Raw genomic sequence first — 21,240 nt, 5'->3', positions numbered from 1 at the left:
GTACCTCACAAATGATCATTGTCAATAAATGTTGAATGAATTAAGAGGTCCTGGAGTGTGATTCTGGGATGGAGCAGGTACTGGGGCTGGGTGTGGGGACAGGTCTCTTAGAAGGATAGGGAGCAGGGCCGCCAGGTGTGTGCTTTGAGGTGCCTGGCAGCTTAGAGCTAATGGCAGCTGTGTTTTGCTACAGCGTTACCTTCCCCAAGGCTGGTAATGGGATGAACCAAAAGAAACTACTGACTTATTTTTCTAGGGGACTGGGGCTTGGGCAGAAGGCTGCATTTTCCTCCTGGGTAGGACCTGGATCAGGATAGCCCATGATGAATTTGACCCTGATGACTCTATAGTGGGGAACAATGTCCTCAGGAAAGCATTCAGGAAACCCTTCGTGTAGTAGTGATCAAAGCTCTGGAGCAGCTCAGCAGGATGGATGGGAAAACTCCAAGGAATCCAGCAAGGCCCAGGGATCCTCTTAATGCACTTACCAGGTGGAGCTCTCCAGCAGCCTCTCGGCAGACCCTTGGACCAACCCTTTGGTTTGAGGAATCCTGGGAAGGGGTGAGAATGGCTTCCTGGAGATCCTGTGGGAGCCACTGCTTCTGGAGTGTCTCTGTTTTATCTCCATTTTCCCCTTCATGCCTTCCCTCTAGCCACATGCCTGAGAGGGTGGGGTGGGCTGGTAGGTGAAGCCTGTAAGCATTGAAAATAGAGATGGGGAAGGCTCTGGTTTCCCCACCTCCTCAAGAAGCAGACTATAAGCCTTCTTGTATTTATATGAAACCCTCTTTCCACTTGTCTGTCATTCCCAAGGAGTTCAAATAAAAGAGAGAAAATCACTGATTCTTCTTCTGCCCCTCGAGTGGGAAATGGCTCCCCCAAGATAATGGGATTCTTAGCAGAGCTGGCCCTGTGGCGGCCCCATGCCCCCTCCCTTTCCCAGCTTGCACCTTGTCATCATGCCAAACCAAGGTCAGCTTCTGGCCTGCAGTTTGCTTGAGTTGACGATGAGGGGAAACCCTCTTGGGTGCCTGCCGGCCGTAGGGCATAGCCACAGCCCCTCTGGCTGGTGGCTCATGTGACTTACCTCTGATGAAGGTTGCAGCCTGCTTTTCCTGCCCCCTCCCAGTTTTGTTTGCCCAGCACACAGACTAAAGAATAACTCCTGGGGTACCTCTGCCCCTTTGATCCTCTCCAAGCTGTTTTCCCCACGTGCGGGAGGGTAGGAGGTCACAGTCTTTCCCACAGATGCGAGTCCTGTGTGTTTATAATTTGGTTGATTGATGACAAGGTGGATTGTTCAGCTGCTATTGTCCCTAAAGCCCTGTCCTTGGCTGGCTCTCACCTCACTGATATATGCTGGGGCCTTGATGGGCTCAGACCCCACCCCACCCCACCTCCCACCCTGCAATCTGCTCTCCTCAAGAAGCTCAGCTCTGGAGCTAGACTGCTCCCATTCAAAGCCCAGCACTGCCTCTTACAGCTGCAGTCCTTTGGCAAGCTTCTTCTCAGTGTCTTCTGTGTCAAATGGGGCTAATGTATGACTTACGGGGTTATTGCAAGGATTCAAGGAAAACACACCAAAGCATCTGGAACAGTGGCTCACATATAGTTAGCACTAGGAAAAGTTGGTTGTTGTGATTAGAAGTATTTTTTCCATTCTATGCATTTAGCCACACTTTAGGACCCTGATTTCTCTCTGGGCTCTAAGAGAGGGTGCCTGAGTGTAGTGGGGAAACTGAGGCCTACAGTAGCCCTGTGGCCGACAGCTGGGGAACCATGAGGGTACCCTGATCCTCAGCCCAGAGGCCTGTTGGCTGTGCTGTTTGTTGCTTCTCTGCCCCTGTCTCACTGTCCCTGCTCTGAGTCCCCAGGCCTTTCCTGGACTGCCTTGGTGTCTTGTAGCAATCCCAACCTGCACACAGCCTTGGTTGGCTCACTGATTGGCCTTCAGGCAGTTAGAGATTTCTGGAGGAGGCTGGAGAAGCTGAGGGTTGACTAAGGGTGGTGCTGAGCTGAGGGGACCCTGCCCGGGCTACTGGGGCTCTTGGGAGTGTGTTGGAGGGGGTCCCCCAGACTCTTGTTCATGACCCCCAGACAGGGGAAGTGTCTTAGTTTGTCAGGGCTGCCATAATGAAACACCACAGAGTGGCTCACCGACCTCAGAGACTTATTTTCTCACAGTTCTGGAGGCTGGAAGTCCAAGATCAAGGTGCCAACTTGATTGGGTTTTCCTGAGGCCTCTCTCTCTGGCTTGCAGGTGGGCACCCTTTTGCTGCCTGTTTACATGGGTATCTCTCTGTGCCTGTGCACTCCTGGTGTATCCAAATTTCCTCTTAAAAAGACACCATCAGGTTAGATTAGGGCCCACCCTAATGGCCACATTTTAACTTAATCTTATCTTTAAAAGCCTATCTCCAAATACAGTCATATTATGAAGAAATATGAAGTTTAGGACTTCAACATATGAATCTTGTGGGGACACATTTCAGCAGTAACAGAAAGACAGACGGCAGCAGCATGAAGCGGGCCGCTGCCGCCGGGGAAACCTCTGCACGGGAGAGCGGCTACAGCCAAAGCCTTTAATGGGGAGGCGCTCAGCCTACCCTGGGGAGAGGCTGGTGTTGGGTCCTCGTCCCTCTCTCCCACAAGAGGCCCTAGAGTGAGAACTAAATGCCTGAGGCCGGAAGGCTCTGTGAGCTGATTATCCCTGTGGTCTCTGGGGTGAAGGAACAGTCAGCAGGCCCCAGGCACTGTCCTGTCCTTCCCCTGCCTTATCAGAGCCTCGACTCCCTTCCGCCTCTAGGCTGTGACCCAGGCTCTCCCCATGAGCAGTGACTTTGAAGGGGGTAACATCGCCACCTTTGTTTTAGCTGAGCTCTGCAGCTCTCCATGTACCCCACCTGGCAGGGAGTGGTTTAGAAATAGCACCGAGAGTTCAAACATCACTTCTATTATTTTTTCCAGGAGATTTACTTGTCTGACTGAGTTGGTTTAGGCTGATATTCTAGTAAAGACTTTCCTCTCTGAGTGCCATGTGTTTTCTGATAAAAGCTGAGGGCGGGTAGGGAAGTGGCTCAGAAACTTTCTGGAAGTCAGAATTGGCCACAGATGACAAGTAAGTGCTTTGCCTGGCCCTGGAGCCCACCTCCCCATCAGTCTTTCACGCAGCCCCATTAGGTGGGCTAGAGATCATCTCAGGGTCCTCTGATGGTGCACTGCCCTCCCCCAGCATCCTACATCTCCCTCTGGGGTCAGTAGTTCTGGGTCTTTCACGGCCTCTTGTCCCCCCAGGCCCAGAAGCCAGCATTGGAGGGGCAGGAAGGATGGATGCTTTAGGTCCAGCTGCCTGCTGCCTTCTGCCCAGCCAGGTCCACAGAGTCCTAGGATTGCAGAGGTTCCCTGGCTTCTTGGAAAAGGGCTAGAAGGCAGCCACCCTGCTTTTCCTGTGGACTTCATTAGTCTTGGGAACCCAAGGCAGACAAATCCCAGAAAAGAAGAGAAGGAAAACTGTGCTCACTGAGCTCCTTTAGGCTGAGTGTTGTGCCGGATGCCTCTGATATCTCATTTAATCCTCTCAAGAGCCCTGCAAAGCAGGGGTTGTTTTCTCCATTTTATAGATAGGGAAACTGAGACTCAGGGGCTAAGTAACTGAATCGCACGTTGAGCGAGTGGTTGTGCTGGGAGCGAAGCCTAGGTCTGCAGGCTTTGGAGCTCTGGTCTACTTCCAGTGAAGCTGGCTGTTCCTCCCAGCTTCACTGTGCCCTTGGCCTTTCTTCCCCTTGGACAGTGGAGGGTGGAGGGTGGGAAAGTCAGTGGGGGCTTCCTCCCCTCCTCTTTCCTTTCATCTCCAGAGACCTCTTTGTTTTCCCTGATTCCTGGACACACTGGGCTCAGGGCTCCTGACTGACTGGGCTGCAGCTCTCAGATCTCCAATGACTAGGAGGGAATGAATGGGTTGTCACCTCTTGACCTGTATCCCCCACCCCCACTACGTCTCCTACCCCAGCAACCACAATGGCCTGAGGCTAATTCAGTGCCGTCATTGTTGACCGTGGAGAACAATGCTCAGAGACAGGCTGCTGGCGGGACTGGGTGCAGCCACCTGCTCCTCTCCAGCACTGTTTCTCCCATGCTAGGAAGTTGGGAGATGACTTTCCATGTGTGAGATATGAGGGTCCTGAGAGGAGGTGTGAGAGGAGGGAGCAAACGGTAATCTCCCCATTCCCCCATATCCAAACCATTTCCCAGTGCCAAGCAAGGCTGTGGGTACTATGGGCTTCCTCTTACTAGGCTGTGGGTCACATGGCTCCCCCCTCACTAGCTGTGAGACCGTGGGCAAAGTCACTTAGCTTCTCTGCGTCCTAGTCTTTAATATAGGGATTTACTACCTCCTTCACCAAGTAATTGAGGGGAAAGCTCTTAGCATAGTGCCTCATTCCATAGAAGACATCAGTTCTCCCTCTTGCCCCTGCTTTCCTGGTAATTGGCAGGTGCGCTTGATCTTTTGGGCCAGCTTGTGCTGGGAGGCAAGGTGCTGTGGGGAGGCACAACCTGGGAGAGCCTTTCCTGAGTCCAGCTGGAGCCAGAGATAAAGGAGGCCTCCCTGCTTCCCCAGCTGTCTTGCTTCGCTTTGCTTTTTGTAACACGGAGGAAGCTGAAGGCATTGTGATTATCGGCTCCGGGAAGATAAACTTGAAGGGTGACTTAATGAGCATTTGTAAACCTATCGAAGGTTATCATTCAGGGCAGAGTGACCGGCGGACACGCGGAAATGGGTTTAGTATGCAGCAAAGGTATGTGAGTAGACATGAGAAAGCCTTTCCCAGCAGGAGAAGGCCTGGGAACTTGAAAGGGGGGGTCGGGGGTGAGACTGAGGAAGCCTGTAAAATCTTTAAAAATAGGTCATTTTGTTCTGACTGGGCTTGGGTGGGGTTTGGTTAAGAGGTGAAGGGACAGGTCAGAGACCAGCCAGGAATTCACCCTTGAATCAGAAGTCAGGTGAGACTGGCTGGTGGCATCCTTAGGCAAACAGAGTTGCGTTTTATAGGGGAGCCTGGGCTAGGGGGTAGACAGGGAAACCCTGCCTCTGGACCCACCCCCAGCTTTGACTTGCTGTATTTTCAGAGACAGCACAGGAAGTGGGCCTTCACAATGTCAGGATACAGGAAGCTATCGGACTATTGAAGGCCACTTCCTGTGAGCTGGTCATTCACATACATTTGTCACCGGCTATCAGGCCTTTTGGGCTCTGCCATTGTCTGGAGGGGCTGCAAAAGACTAGGGGCTGCCAGCAGAGGCTTTTGGACACAGAATACACTATTGTGCTGAACTGGCAGCACCCCATGGTGTGGGGAGGAAAGTGGTGGGTAAGAAAGGGGACGCCTGGCTCTCATTGTCATTGGTTGCACAATGGGGTTGGGGGTTGGGTCCTCTCCTGCTCATGGGAGCCTGAACTTCTGGGAGATGAGATGGCTACACAGAAGCCTGGCTTTAGGCATGATACCGGAGTGAGCTGGAAAGGAGGTCCATCACTTTATTAGCAGTGATGGGCTTTCTAGATCTCTGCCATTGGCCAGTGTGACATAGCATGGGCTTGGAGTCAGGCAGACCTAGATTTCGAAGTCATACCTCACTGCTATCAATGGTGCAACTTTGCGCATATACCACCCTACCCCTCTGAGCTTTAGTCCTGCTCCTGTGAAGTGAGGACAGTAAGAACTGACTCATAGGGATGATCATTGCTTGAAATAATCTGTTGAAGTCTTTAGCTTGATACTTGGCACTTATTAGATGTCTAAGAAATATGAGTTCCTTCTCCATCCTCATCTCCTTCCCTTCTAGTTCACTTCTGACCCTACTGCCTGGTCTGCCAGTGAGCAAGTGAATTAGTGAGTGCAGGGGTATGAAGAGATATTTTAATATCAGCCCAAACAAAGCATTACTTCTGCCTTTTTTTTAATGCCAAGACGATCAAATAGACCGTTAATTATCTGCACTAATGGATGGCACAGTCACAGATCATTTTTTCTGGCCATGTGCCTTTGGCCTTATGTGTGAATCTGGGTGTGTCTGATTTCTGGAAGTTCACATCAATGCAGTTGTAACAGGGCAGACCTGCTCTGGAGGAGATGAGTTAGAGAACTGTCTAGCAGCCCATGAATTTGACCTGCTCAACTCTGAGACCCACCGGTGCCAGGAAGAGGCCACTCTCTTTCTCAGCTGTCTGATAGGTGGAAAACCATGGACTTTGGAGGCAGACACTTGGGTTCAGATCTTGACTCTGGCCCTAACTAATGGTGTGACAGGGAAAGTTATTTGACTTCTTTGAGTCTCTGTCTCTTTACTTATAATCTGAGCTTAATCATATTTACTTTGCAGGTCTCTGTGAAGATAAAATAAGGTAATGCACATGCTCCTCACCTAGTCACGTTTTCCTTCCATTTCTTTCCCTTCTCCTCTTTTCTCTGTCACTCAGCCCTACCCTGAGCAGAGATCCCTTTCTAATCATTGCTGGTGTACAGATATAGTTAAGTGTTTGGACTTGAGGATCCTACTGCCCTACAGCACAGGAGAACCAGGCCTCTGTTCATTGTGGTAGCCATTAGCCACATGTGACTATTTAAAGTAAAATGAACAAAAATGAAAAATTAGCTCCTCACTAGCCACACGTGGCTAGTGGCTATTGTATTAGACAGTGGGGACAGACATTTCTATCATTGCAGAATGTCCTATTGGATAGTGCTGAGTGAGAGGGTGTGATATAACCATGGAACCTGATAAGCAGAAGGAAATAAATTAATGAGGAAAAAGGATTTGGTTGGCTGAGAACTGAGTAAAATAGTATCCCTCTACTATTTGAAGCGTCCATGGGGTTTGGACTCTTGATGTTGGTTCTCTTCTTCCATTGGTAGAGTTAATCCAGTGCACACTTGGTCTAACACTCAAATGCCAGGAACCTCTGGGGCTGGACTGAGAAAGCTGCCCAAGCAGGCCCTGTGCTCCACGGATGGGTCATGGCCAGGCCTTACTGACTAACAGAGTTTGCCTTGTGTTCTATGGCCCCTATACAGGTGTGAATTGTGACGGCTTAGGCCCAGGGAAGCCACAACTGCCCTAGGACTCTTTATACCAATACCTGCCACTCTAGACTCTTCCCTTTGTCTCCCATCCTTGTCACAGAAACCATAGACAATCATATGGCCTTGCCCTGATGTCAATGACAGACTCATCCCCCAAGCATAGATTGTAGTTGTGGCATGTGGCTCGTAGTCTCTCCCTCCTCTGCTGCAGGCACCGATCCTACCACTCTTAACCAGGCTGCTCCCTGAGCCTTCGTGGGCTGCTGGGCTCTGGAATTATTAGCTTTGTTGCCAACAGCCTGGTGTGCATGAGTCCTGGGCACCCCTGGACCAAAGCCATCCAACCTCAGCTGCATATTCCCAGTTTATACAGTTTATCAGCCCTGCTTTGCTTCCTGACACTCTGACTAGCCTTGTCAGCATCCCCCTCTGCTCCCCTTGGAGGAATGGGGCTGGGTGTCTGTACTCCTAAGCTCTGGACTGGGCTCCTGCTCTGAACATGTCTGTTTCCTGAAACCCCAATTCTGAAATCTGTCTGCTCTGCACATCAAACTGGCCTCAAGATACCAGCATTGGGCTGGATCTTGTATTTGGAGTAACTCACCCTCCCTGCCCACGTCCCAGCTTCCTGTCCTTTCCCATCAGCTGTACCAACAGTGGAGGCTCAGCAAGCCTGGCACCTGAGGCCATGGCTGTTGGACAGGTCTAGGAAGGCCCTGTAGGCTGGCCTACCATGGGGGGGTTCCCAGACGTCACAGCAATTAGAGTTCATAGGAGCTTGGCAGGTGCCAAGGTTAGGAGCCTATCTGGGATCACGTGTGAGGCCAAGTTTTCCCCAAACTTGGGAGGGATCAGGGTCTGTAGCCCAGAGTATGTTCTGCTCCCATTGCTCGTTTCAGAGTTGTAGATCTTGAGGCAAAGAAAAGAGAAATGGCCGCACAAGGCCACACTGGGGTGTCTGAGTAGTGATCAACCATCCAGGTTGCTTCTGAAGTCTCCTAGCCCTTTTCATTCAAGCCTGGGGTCACTCTCTTGTTCTCTAGCACAGAATAAGCTGTTCTCTTGTCCCCTATCTGATCTCTTCCTCTTTCCCTCCCTGCCCGTGTGAAGTTGTGTGAGAAAGGTGGTCCACAGGCACCAGGTTTCCAAAGACACTGGCAACTGCCCCACCACCAATTCTTACCTCTGCCTCACCCGACTGCCAGCCAAGGGGTGGTGGTATCCGGGGAGGGATCTCAATCCCAGAAACAAACAATGTCACTGCCGATGCCCTTGTCGGAGGAAACCCAGGGGACAGTCTAACGGGTGCCTCCCTCTACCTCCCTGCCTTCCAGGCTTTTCTTTTCCCTGGCGCTGCTGCCCTTTGTCCTTCCTATCTTGGGAAGGATGGGAAAGGGCATGTGGGGGCTGGACAGGGCTTTAGTCAAGTGACCAAAATCCAACTCGTTCAGGCAAAAAGACCTTACTAGTTCCCAGGGCAGCTTCGGCGACAGACACGAGATTCCCCAGTACTATCTCCCTGCCCCTCACCTCCGCATCTCTCTCTGGGGTGGCCCCAGCCTCTCATGGCAGACCTATTTCTTCCATGTGGAGGAAAACAGGGCCACTGATAGCCCTCAGGCCTTCTGTGTTCCAGGTTCTGTCAGTCACAGGAGAGGGCTGACTATCAAATTTGGTTTCTAAATCCAAAAATCCTAAAGAAGGGACACACAGGTACTTGTGTCCCTTGACTACTAAATAGTTTCTGGGAAGAAGACGTGTTAGGTAAGACGAGGCAGCTTCTGCAGTGGCCTGTGGATGGGGTCACAGTTCCCAGAGAAGGCACATGGTTCCTCAGATGACGTTTCAAGAAGGAACAGGTGTGACAACTCCTCTTGAGCAGAGCAGGGGTTTGCAGGGATGGTCCCGGCCTTCTCTGCTTTGGTGATTTCTTTTCTTTTCTTTTCCTCTCTTCTCTTCTCTTTTCTTTTCTTCTTTTCATTTCTCTTCTCTTCTCTTCTTTTCTCTTCTCTTCTCTAATCTTCTCTCCTCTTCTCTTTTCTTTCTTCCTCCCTCCCTCCCTCCCTCCTTTCTTTCTCTCTCTCTCTCTCTCTCTCCCTCCCTTCCTCCCTCCCTCCCTCTCTCTCTCTGTCTCTCTCTCTCCCTCTCTCTCTCTCTCTCTCTCCCTCTCTCTCTCTCTCTCCTTTCTTTTCTTTCTTTCTTTCGGAATCTCCCTCTGTTGCCCAGGCTGGAGTGCAAGTGGTGCGATCTTGGCTCACTGCAATCTCTGCCTCCTGGGTTCAAGCAATTCTCCTGCCTTAGCCTCCTCAGTAGCTGAGATTACAGGCACCTGCCACCACGCGGCTAATTTTTGTATTTTTAGTAGAGATGGGGTTTCATCATGTTGGTCAGGCTGGTCTCAAACTCCTGGCCTTGTGATCCACCCGCCTCGGCCTCCCAAAGTGCTGGGATTACAGGCGTGAGCCACTACGCCTAGCCAGTGATTTCTTAGAAGTGCACTAGCCTTAAAAATGGAACTGAGGTGAGGATAGCTAAGAGGATTCCTAGGATTGTGGTCTGGAAATGGGTGTTAAGAGTGGCCCAGCTAGCCCGGTGTATTGGAAAGTACATGGCTGTAGAGCCAGGGAGACCAAGGCTTGGCATTAGCTCCACCCCCACAAGTGACTTGGCCTTTCTGATCCCATCTCTAAAAGTGCACGAGATGTGTTTCCCTGACCTCATCAATCTGTGGATTCAAATGAAATCACACTGGCTTTAATGTTCTACTTTTTCTGCCTCATATTCCCCCCCATTTCTAGGACCCCAGACTTCTACCTACTCAGAGAGACCCCGGGCTATCTCTCATGTGCTCACAGCCTGCTGGTTCATGACTGGCCCTGGCTTGCAAGCCACAGAAGGGCTGCAGGGCCCCTGGAGGAGTCCTTACTCCATCTGTGTCCAGTGCTGTCCTGGTCCCCTCAAACTTGCAGACAGCCCGGGTTCCAGGTGGCACCATATTTCCACTGGTCCTTATTCAACTGGAGCCATTTGAAGCTCCATGAAGAAGGTGGGAGAAGGTTCCTTTCACCACATCCAGATCATACCTTGTCACTGGCCCCCAAAGCAGTGCAGCTTGTGAGGCTTCTCTCACAAAATCCCCCAGGAAAGAAAGTTCTTTGGTTTCTGCCAGAAGATCCCCTCTCTCTTCCTGAGGTTCTGCCCTGGTCCTAGGAGCTGGGCCAGGGAAGGGTCATCTTGCCCTGGCTTCATCCAGAGGCCTGCCCCCTGCACACTCCTTCCATATCAGACCTTCCCCTTATAAATATATGCTGGGAGGAGTGGACGCTGGCCTTTCCACATATCAGATATACCTGGCTTTGAATCCTGACTTGCCATATCTAGAAAGCCCTTCTTCACTAGAATTACAGTGTCCTTTTAGTAGGATTGTTGTGTGGATTAAGGGAGATACAGGATATGTGCTCAACAAATGTTAGTTCCATTTCCTCGGTTCACAAACTCATTGCTCTCTTATTGGGAAGGCTGGGATGCTAGCACCTCTTATTTGTGCAGCTGCTGGGAAACCAGGGGAGCAGGGGAGCAGGGCCTGCTTCAGGGCCTGAGCAGGGGAGCAGGGCCTGAAGGCCAGGAAGACCTGGCATGGCTTGGCCAATGAAGCTGGCATTCATCCAGCTTCTACGGGCTTTTCAGGGGAGCTCCATGGGTCCAAATGTGGTAGAATCAAAGATCCTAGCTGGTGGTTAGTTGGGCCAGGGTATGAGACTAAAGGTCATGGAGAGGTAATCCTGGCTGAGATGTGGGCAGGGGACCTCCCACATAGGAGGGGAGCAAGAGAATGTACTTTTTTTTTTTTGAGGTGAAGTCTTGCTCTGTCGCCCAGGCTGTAGTGCAGTGGTGCGATCTCAGCTCACGGCAACCTCCACCTCCCGGGTTCAAGCGATTCTCCTTCCTCAGCCTCCCAAGTAGCTAGGATTACAGTGCCTGCCACCATGCCTGGCTAATTTTTGTATTTTTAGAAGAGATGGGGTTTCACCATGTTGGCCAGGCCAGTCTCGAACTCCTGACTTCAAGCGATCCACCCGCCTTGGCCTCCCAAAGTGCTGGGATTACAGGCGTGAGCCACCGTGCCCAGCCCAAGAATGTACATTTTGGGCATCCTGAAAACCTGTGTTTCACCTGGACTACCCCTGCAGCAGGTGTGTCTACCCTGCTGCAGATGAAAGCCCAGCTTCCCTTCTGGGCAGGAGTCCTTCTGCAGCAGCCCTGTTGGTGGTCACTCAGCTGCTGCTAGGATGCTTCTGAAAGCAGGTCCATTGAATAGGAACGACCTGTGCTCTAGATTCAAAGCCACCTCCGTATGTTGGAATGAGAAAAATCTAACAGGAGTAGAGGGTAAAATAACAAACTGCATAAAGACAGGATGGGGAGAGCTGGTTTAAAGATAGTTAATCTAAAAAGCAACCTTGGGGGCCGGCACTTTGTGAGAGCCTGTAATCCCAGCACTTTGGGAGGCCGAGGTGGGTGGATCACTTGAGGTCAGGAGTTCAAGACCAGCCTGGCCAACAGGGTGAAACCCCCATTTCTACTAAAAGTACAAAAACTAGTTGGGGATGGTGGTGCGTGCCTGTAATCCCAGCTACTCAGGAGGCTGAGGCAGGAGAAATGCTTGAACCCGGGAGGTGGAGGTTGCAGTGAGCCGAGATTGCACCACTGGATTCCAGCCTGGGTGACAGAGGGAGACTCTGTCTCAAAAAAAAAAAAGCAACCTTGGCGGAGGCTCAGGGGTGGGGACAGGGACTCCACAAGGGGGCAGGGGAAAAGGACTAGGCTGAAGTCATTGAGAAGTCACTTGGGAAGTGTGAGAGCTTCCTGAAAGGAGGTGTCCTCCCCAGTGAGATGTTCTGGGTTCTGGGAGCCAGGCCTAACTGTCCCCCAACCCCTCCCCCTGTTCCCCAGGAACGGCCCCCAGAGAAAGTTCTTTCTGGATCATTCAGTCCCCAGTAAAAGTTGGGACCAGGTCATTGACCCATAAAGGGATACATGGAGATGGTGTCTTTGGGGACCAGGCAGGCTATAAGGAGTGAAGTGGAAGCAGATTCAGGAACACTGAAGCTGGCAGCTTCCCAGAGGAGGTGGCTTGTAACCTCAAGAAGGCTCATAGCTGCCATTTGCCTGAGTACCCAAGATAGGGAGGTGGCCACTGTGCCCTGCTGTGCCTGTCCAGCCTTCAGTGCCCATGGAGAGACACATGGAAACCCAGGATTAGCCACATGGCTGAGTCAAGGTGCAGTTGCCCACATGGGCATGGACAAGGGCACACGCACACCCATATGCAGACACGGACCCTGACATACGCATACCAGCACCTTCCCATCTTCAGCCACTCTCATTCTGGAGAATTCATCCAGGCCCAGGACTGCTTGACCCCTCCTCCTCTGCCCTCACACCCAGACTCCAGCCAGCCCCACCCCTGAGAAAGTACAGCTCAGGGGTCCCCAGGGCTGCACAGGAAATGCTTTGCACACTATGGGTCAGCCAGGCTATTTTCTGTCCCAGGACTGGAGGGAGGTTGGGCCGGGAGCAGCCAGTCACGACACAATCAGCTATTTTTCTGCCTCTTTCTCTGTAGCTTTTTCTCTGCCTCTACCATTTGTAGTCAGTGTTTCTCTGTCTCTCCGTGTTCCTGTCCTGTCCCTGTATTTCTCCCTTAGGCCTCAGGGTCTTTTGACCCAATGCCTTGCTGCATTTCACTCAGTGATCACCTATGTACCCTATAAAACTCAGCTCAGTGACACCTCTTCCAGAAAGCTTTCTCTGACCCATCACTCAGTCCAATTTAGATGCCCTTTCCCTTTGCTTCCGGAGCTCTGTGCAGGAAAACTCTCCGAGCTCTGTGTGGTTGCGGATGCAGTTCGCTCCTGCTTCCCCAGGTGGACTGTGAGAAACTTGAGGGTAGGTGCCCTGTCTTTTTTTGTTGTTGTTGTTATTTGAGACAGGTACTTGCTCTGTTGTCCATGCTGGAGTGCAGTGGTGTGATCATGGCTCACTGCATTCTTGATCTTCTGGGTTCAAGCCATTCTCCCACCTCAGCTTCCCAAGTAGCTGGGACCACAGGCACATGCCACCATGGCCAGTTAATTTTTAAAATTTTTTTAGAGATGGGGTCTTGCTATGTTGCCCAGGCTGGTCTAAAACTCCTGAGCTTAAGCACATCCTCCTGCCTCAGTCTCCCAGAGTGCTGGGATTATAAGCACAGGTGACCTGTCTTAATGACTGTTTCTCAGCATCTGCACACATAGGTATCGTCCACACCTGCATCCATGTTTATGTCATTTATTCATTTACTTGTATACTGGAAGATTATACTGTGATGATTAAAAGCCCAGACTCTGGAGTCAGACTGCCTGAATTATATAATCTCAGCTGTGTGACCTTGAGCAAGTTGTTTGAACTCCTTGTGTCTCAGTTTCCTCTACTATAAAGTGGGGATGATACCAGTACCTGCTGCACTGAGTTGTTGGGAGGATGAAACAAGTTAATACATGTAAAGCACTAAGAATAGTTCCTGGCCCACTGCAGGTACTCCCACATATTAGTTGTGTTCTTATTTCACAAGTGATAAGATGGAGAAAATTGCATTTACCAGTACTTCCCTCAGGGAGCACACTATCTGCTTGGGAAGGATGCTTTGACTAGTTGCTAGGGGGTAAGCCCTCTTGTCAAGGGATATATCCTTGAGTAACAACAAATGGTTGCTGAACTCTTTATTTAAAGAGGGTAGGCTGGGCGCGGTGGTTCACGCCTGTAATCCCAGCACTTTGGGAGGCCGAGGCGGGTGGATCACTTGAGGTCAGGAGTTTGAGACCAGCCTGGCCAACATGATGAAACCTCCTTCCACTAAAAATACAAAAATCAGCCGAGCATGGTGACACATGCCTGTAATCCCAGCTATTCGGGAGGCTGAGGCGGGGAGTCACTCGAACCTGGGAGGCAGAGGTTGCAGTGAGCCAAGATGGCACCACTGCACTCTAGCCTGGGCAACAGAGCGATACTCCATCTCAAAAAATAAGAAAAGATAAATAAATAAAATAAATAAAGAGGGTAAGCCAGGTGCCATGTCACATGTCTATAATCTCAGCACTTTGAGAGGCTGAGGTGGGAGGATCCCTTGAGCCCAGGAGTTTGAGGCTGCAGTGAGCTATGATTGTGCCACTGCACTGCAGCCTGGGCAACAAAGTGAGACTCTGTGTCAAAAAAAAAAAAAAAAAAAAAAAAAAAAAGAGGATAGATTGGGCAACTGCAGGGCTTTTGTTTAACTGAGTGAGATGTGCTGCAGGTTTTGGGCCGGAACTGAATTGTCTGAGACAGGAGAGTCTGGGCATGGTATGGGGCAAGGGCAAAAAGGAGGATGTATTAGTTTCCTATTGTTGCTGAACAAATTACCACAAATGTGGTGGCCTAAGGCAACACAAATTTATTATCTGACAGTTCTGGAGGCCAGAAGTCTGAAGTGGATTTTACTGAGCTAAAATCCAGGTGTCAGCAGGCTGCATCCTTTCTTCAGGCTTTAGGGGAGAAACTGTTTTCTTACCCATTCTAGCTTGTAGAGGCCACACACATTCCTTGGCACATGGCTCCTTTCCACCATCTTTAAGCCAGCTCAAGTGACATCACCTTACTCTGACCTCCATTTCTGCCTTCCTCTTGCACTTTTTTTTTTTTTTCTTGAGACACTCACTCTGCTGCCCAGGCTGGAGTGCAGTGGTGCCATCTCAGCTCACTGCAACCTCCACCTGCTGGGCTCAAGCGATCCTCTCACCTCAGCCTCCCAAGTAGCCTGAACTACAGGTATGTGCCACCATGCCTGGCTAATTTTTATATTTTTTATAGAGACGGGGTTTCATCATGTTGCCCAGGCTGGTCTCAAACTCCTGCGTTCAAGTGATCTGCCCACCTTGGCCTCCCAAAGTGCTGGGATTACAGATGTGAGCCACCAAGCCTGGCCTCCTCTTGTGCTTTTACTGACTCCCTTGATAATCCAGGATAAACTCCCTGTCTTAATGTCAGCTGATTAACAACCTTAATTCCATCTGCAGCCTTAATTCCATTTTGCCATGTAACCTAACATATTCATAGATTCTGGGTTTAAGACATGGACATCTTGGGGGTGGGGGCCTCATTCTGTCTTCCACCAAGGACTACTGCTGATAGGAAGGAGACTGGGGAATACACGTGTCTGCTGAGTATTGGGGGGCTTTGCTGTGGGGTGTGCATCACCTCTGACTTCCTTACAAAACCTTCAGTGCTCAGGTGCTTTGGGATATGGATTTTCTTGGGGGGACATATGAAGACATGTGGAATCTTGGCTCAAGGATTGGCAGGAGGCAAAATCTGAGGCTTCCCTCAACAGGGAGAGCTGAAAGCTGGGTCACATATTCATTCAATCAACCTGTATGAGCCAGGCTGGGCTCAAGGGTCATCGCCTTCAAGTCATTCACAATCTATTAGAGGGGACAGGTGTACAAACAGGTAAGAGTCACTCTGGGATAGGAGGATCAGTGATGGCAGTCTACATGGTTGCAGCACAAAGGAGGCACCCAACTTAGCCTGGAGGGAGGAGAGGCTGGGCAGACTTCCCTGAGGAAGTGATGCCTCAGCTGAATTGAGAAGGATGAATAGAAATTCACCAGGTGAAGAGAGGGCAGCACATTCTAGGCAGCCTGGACCATCAGAGAAAGGGTGTGGAGATGAAGGTGCAAGCTGATATGGTGTGTGTGTGTGTATATTTGTGTGTAGTGTGTGTGTGCATGTGTGTGAGACTATAAGCAAAGTTCTGGCACAATAGCAGCACTCAGTGAATATTTCTAGAATAAACACTTCAGTGTTATGCTGTTTTGTTTGTTGCTTGGCAGATCACAGCCCTGCCAAACTAAACCAAATAGGAGACACCTCCTTTTAGGGAAGCCCCCAGGGTTACTGTGACCCATCTGAGAAATCTTTTTTCAGGATCTCTCATTAGGAAAAAGAGGAAGGTTTGTTTCATATCTGATGTCCAATGTAACAATAACTCTTCACATTTGCAGAATCCTTTACACTTTGCTGGATACTTTCATTTGAAATGTCTCAACTGGTCAGTGTTTTCTTTTTCAGCTGAAGAAACTGAGGCTCAGAGAATTAACTATTGTTTCTCAAGGTCACACAGCCATGTGGCAGATCCGGGCCTGGACTCCGGCATCCCTGCTTCACAACCAGGCCCTGGCACCTGCTGATTACGGAGTGTCCTGCCCCTGCCCTCTGGCTGTGGAGGCAGCTGGGGAGCAGGGCTGAGTTGCCTGGTGCAGCTCATGATGTTTTCCCCTCTTTCCCGGAAGGGGTTTCCTGAAGGTGGAAGTGAGACCTGAAGGCATAGAGAGTGTGCATTGTTCAGCTGCACCTGGCGGTGAGCTCATGTCAGCAGACAGAACAGGGAAGGCAGCACCAGACCAGGAATTGGAAACTGCCTGAGCAGTTTCCTTGGCCCAGGTCCCTACATCCATCTTTGCTTCCTCTTTCTGGGAACTGGTCCCTTCCTTGAGTCCCGAGCTGACTCTCATGAGGCCAGGGACCTGGTGAGGCCAGGAAAGTCCCTCAGTTTCCCTGTCTGAAAATGAGGGGTTTAGGTTAGATCAGTTTGCCTAAGTGTGATCTGCTGAACATGAGTCCTACAAAATACTCCACAAGAATCGAGTTGGATGGCCAAATAAACCAGGGAAAAGCTGGCGATTTCTTCTAGATGTTCACAGTGCACATTGGCCTAGTAAAGACTCTGAGATGTCCATAAATGAAGAAACCCAAGCTCACCAGTGTTTCTCAAGCAACTTATTTGACTACAGAACCTTTCTCATACTCCTCATAGTGTTCTGTTGATAATGTTCATCACACCATGGATGGGTTCGGTCTCTTGGTGGGTATCAACCCAGTGACCACAACCAAGAAAGATTTAGCAAGGGGATTTTATTACATGTAACAAATAAGGAGAACGCCAGGGGTAGTTTCCAAAGCAGTGTCTCCCTGAGCTGGGGCTGAGTCAGGTTTTATAAGCCTAGGATAATGAGGCGTGATCTGTTTGGATCTTGCAATGAGGTGATGTCAGGAGGCGTGATCTGACTGGACCCTGCCATGTAGCATCAGCTTCTTTTTTATTGAGATGGAGTCTCGCTCTGTCGTCCAGGCTGGAGTGCAGTGGCGCAATCTCAGCTCACTGCAACCTCCGCCTCCTGGGTTCACGCCATTCTCCTGCCTCAGCCTCCCAAGTAGCTGGGACTACAGGCACCCACCACCATGCCCAGCTAATTTTTTGTATTTTTAGTAGAGATGGGGTTTCACCATGTTAGCCAGGCTGGTCTCGATCTCCTGACCTAGTGATCTGCCCTCCTTGGCATCCCAAAGTGCTGGGACTACAGGCGTGAGCCGTCGCACCTGGCCAGCATCAGCTTCTGAATTCAGTCCCCACTCCTCGGACTGAGCCCTTAGGATCCCCCTGTGGTTGCACCCTTGGTTCATCTGGGCATGCTCTGGTTATGTGACCTGAGGGTCCCTGGCAAACTCAAAACCAACTCATAACTTTCTTACATGCAAGTTGAACCAGGCCTGGTGTGGTGGCTCACACCTGTAATCCCAGCACTTTGGGAGGCTAAGGTGGGCAGATCACTTGAGATCTGGAGTTCGAGACCAGCCTGGCCAACAGTATCTACTAAAAGTACAAAAATTAGCCAGGTGTGGTGGGCGCCTATAATCCCAGCTACTCTGGAGGTTGAGGCAGGAGAATCGCTTGAACCCAGGAGGCAGAGGTTGCAGTGAGCCGAGATCATGCCACTGCACTCCAGCCTGGGGGACAGAGCAAAACTCTGTCTCAAAAAAAAAAAAAAAAATGCTGAACAGGAATTTTCCAGCGTGGTTACAATAACACTTTGGAAAATGTCAAATAGATGATCTCTAAGGTCCCTCCTCACCTCTACTCCAAAATGTAAGGTCTTTGAGCTTAGGGACTATTGTTGACACTTGTCCCCTAATTTTGCCTGCCCAGCACCCTAAGCCCCCTCCTTGATTTGAGGGAATCTCATATGATTCCTGGAGGGAAGCAGCGCTCCATCTCTCACTATGGAGGTCACAAGGAGCAAGATATTTCCTCCTCCCTGTTTCTGGCTGCTGGTTGGGGGTATGTGATCTTGGCTCTAGACTTAGAATCCAGAGATGATGGCCTAGAGATAAAGGGACAGTGGGGGATTCAGATGGCCTAGAGATAAAGGGACAGTGGAGGATTCAGAGAGGCCATCCCCACAGGCAGGAATGGGCACCTACAGTAGTATTCTGCATGGATTCTAAATGAACACACAGATGGGCCTAAGAGAGAGACTGGGCTCCTTTTGTGTGGATCTAGGAGTTTGTTTCAAGGCTTCAAGTACAAGTAGAGAGATTTTAGGTCAAAATATAGACAGAGTTTTGGAGTAGGCTGCCTCTGAAGGCAATCTGATTCCCGTTGGTGGAGGTTGCATGAGCAGAAGCTGGTCAGCTGTTGGTAGAGAGGCTAGATCACAATGGGGTCCAATACCTGGCTGGATGGTGTATCAGTCAGCTTTTTCTGTGTAAGAACCATAAAACCTCAGTGCTATACAACAGTAAGGGCTTATGGCTCACAGGCCAGGCAGCTTTGCTGATCTTGGATGGGCTCATTCACATGTCTGGGGGTTGGTTGGTGTTGGCTGGTCTACATTGCCTCGGCTGGGATGACCAGGATGGCTTTGCTCTGCTCCGCATGTCTCTCATTCTCTCTCAGGCTCACCCAGGCCTGTTCTCTTGGCTATGGTGGAGGCACAAGGGAGCAGATATAAATATGCAAGGCCTCTGGGGGCCCAGACTCAGAACTGGTATCCAGTCACTCCTACTGCATTTTGTTGGTCAGAGTAGGCCACAAGCCAGGCCACATTCAAAGATGAGGAAATAAACCCTACCTCTTCAGTGAGATAAACTGCAAAGCGTTAGGACAAAGCCTGTGGGTAGAGGGAGGGATGAAGAATTAGGGACATTAATGCAATGCAAAATAGGTGGCAGTTAGACCAGTGTTTTTCAGCCTGTGTTCTATGCAAGCCTAAGTTTTGCACATTTTTCTCAGGGATCCCTATAAGCCTTGGGGGAGGCTGAGTGGGTTGGAAGTTTTCCTCTGGACTATTGTAAAAGCCTTTTAACTTAGTATGAATAATGGTACAAATTACTGAATACTCACTACACATCTGGTATATTTTAGCTCCCTCTTTAATCCCTTAAGAACTCTTGAAATGGGTATTATTACTTTTGTCATTTTGTTGATGAAGATACACTGAACCTTAAAAAGGTTAAGTAACCAGCCCAGAGTCACATGGTTTGGCCTGTCTGATCTGAGCGTCCTTGCCCTCAAATACTCTGCTCTTCCACCTCCTGTCTTTCCATTGTTGGGGCTGCCGATTGGTTTGACAGGTACTGGGGAGAGACCCAGACTGCAGGGAACCAGAGGACAGGTGAGAGCACAGGGGGAAGGCAGGAGAGCACAGTAGTGGCTGATGGGCAGAGGATGGGGCAGCAGAAGGGCCTGAGGTTTTACATGGGGTGAAGGGCAGGTGTGCCTGCTACAGGGGTTACATCCTGAGGCAGAGCCATCCTGAGTGTGGGGGCTACCACAGGTGCATCTGGGTTGAAAGTTCATTTACTTCCTCATTCAACCGAGGGCTATTGAGTAACTACCATGTTCCAGGCACTGTTGTAGGTACTGGGGAATAAGACACACCAGGTTACTGCCCTTTTGAAATTTACTTCCCAATGGAGGGAGACAGACACTAAACCTATAGGTAGATCCGTAATGTAACTTCAGATAGTAATAAGAACTGAAGGCCTGGTCTCCCTGAAGGGGATTCCCCGGTGGGTTCAAGGTTGCATTGATGGTAGAATACACAGGCAAGGAGTCACCTTCCAGTGCTCCCTGTGGGGCTGTGCTGTCTGGCCAGAGGGAGAGCGCAGCCCACAGGTAGATCGGCCGGAGGCCAAGCCTTTTTGGGTTGAATTCTCAGGCCAGGGCCTTAGGTGCCCTGGGGCAGGAAGCAGGTGTGGAGTTGGATAAGGACAGAGCAAAAATAGAGCTGAGGGTAGTAAGGGAAGATGAGGGAGGACTGTGAAATTAGAGAGGTGGGGATGGGGAGTTGGGTTAAGTTTGACAGGATGGAGTCTAGTTAGAGAACAGCCTGTGGAACAGGGCCTGGGTGAAGCCCCTTAGGTCCCAGGGATCTTAGGTGCCAGAGATCAGTTCCAATGCCAGCTCAGAGTGCAGCTGCTTAAAGTAATGCATGGAAGATGGATTTTGAGGCAGCCTCCCACTTTAGTGGTAAAGAAAGACTTTATTGGTAATGTCTGCCATGGTCATGGAAGGGAGAGGAGGAGCACAGTACAACAGTGCACTGGGTATTTGGTGGGAGCAGCCCACCTTTGGGGGGTGTTTTATCACTAATACCCTCTAGAATTGCCAGCACATGGTGAAAATAAAAAGCTGGCTGAGTTTTAGGCAGCTTTATTGTTCTTTTTAAATTTACCACAGACAGTGCACCCCCTTATTGCCCACATCTCGGGTTGACCACTCCCATCCCCGACTTTGGCACATCCCTGTACACGTGCAGATGGTAGAGCAAAAGCAAAGCACCCCTTTCTAGCATCTGTTATAAGCCTCCAGGGGCAGGATGCACCCTGCCTTTTTTCCAAAGACTTGGACTCGAAGGATAGCTTGCTGTGTTGCATTGGTCATATCACTTGGCTTTTAGAGCTTTTCTTCGTCTGTGCAGTGAAACACCTGGTGTGGCCTCATTCTAGCACTCTGGCATACATGGAGCACTCTGGCCCTGAGCTGGTGGACATCAGAGGTCTTGTTTGTACAAGAGCCCCTGGGCTCAGTTAGAGAAATGATTGAAAGGTATTTGAGAGTTGATTATTTGCTTCCTGGACAGTACTATTAAGACCTTCCCCCAAAGAAAGGAAAATAAATACTGCCCCAGCCTTTTGAAGGGGAAGGTCGTGGATAGGAATGGAAGACAGAGGTGAAGTGGAGTCAAAGGACATGGACTTTCTCTGGGCAGGGTCAGAATCGGCAAGGACGGCAAGATGT

At 50.3% G+C, this 21,240-nt stretch overlaps 2 annotated features.

Annotated features, from left to right (window-relative positions):
- Nucleotides 495–1,180: an enhancer, noted in NCBI's record as "H3K4me1 hESC enhancer chr1:35312807-35313492 (GRCh37/hg19 assembly coordinates)". NCBI's record gives its function as "activates a minimal SCP1, AML or CMV promoter by ChIP-STARR-seq in naive H9 embryonic stem cells {active_cell/tissue: H9 hESC(naive)}" and the evidence as "EXISTENCE:reporter gene assay evidence [ECO:0000049][PMID:30033119]".
- Nucleotides 5,304–5,991: an enhancer, noted in NCBI's record as "H3K27ac hESC enhancer chr1:35307996-35308683 (GRCh37/hg19 assembly coordinates)". NCBI's record gives its function as "activates a minimal SCP1, AML or CMV promoter by ChIP-STARR-seq in primed H9 embryonic stem cells {active_cell/tissue: H9 hESC(primed)}" and the evidence as "EXISTENCE:reporter gene assay evidence [ECO:0000049][PMID:30033119]".

The sequence above is a fragment of the Homo sapiens genome, chromosome 1 (genome assembly GCF_000001405.40).
Source record: "Homo sapiens chromosome 1, GRCh38.p14 Primary Assembly".
NCBI lineage: Eukaryota > Metazoa > Chordata > Mammalia > Primates > Hominidae > Homo > Homo sapiens.
The sequence above is the reverse complement of the archived record's forward strand: the minus strand, read 5'-3'. Positions and strand labels throughout refer to the sequence as shown.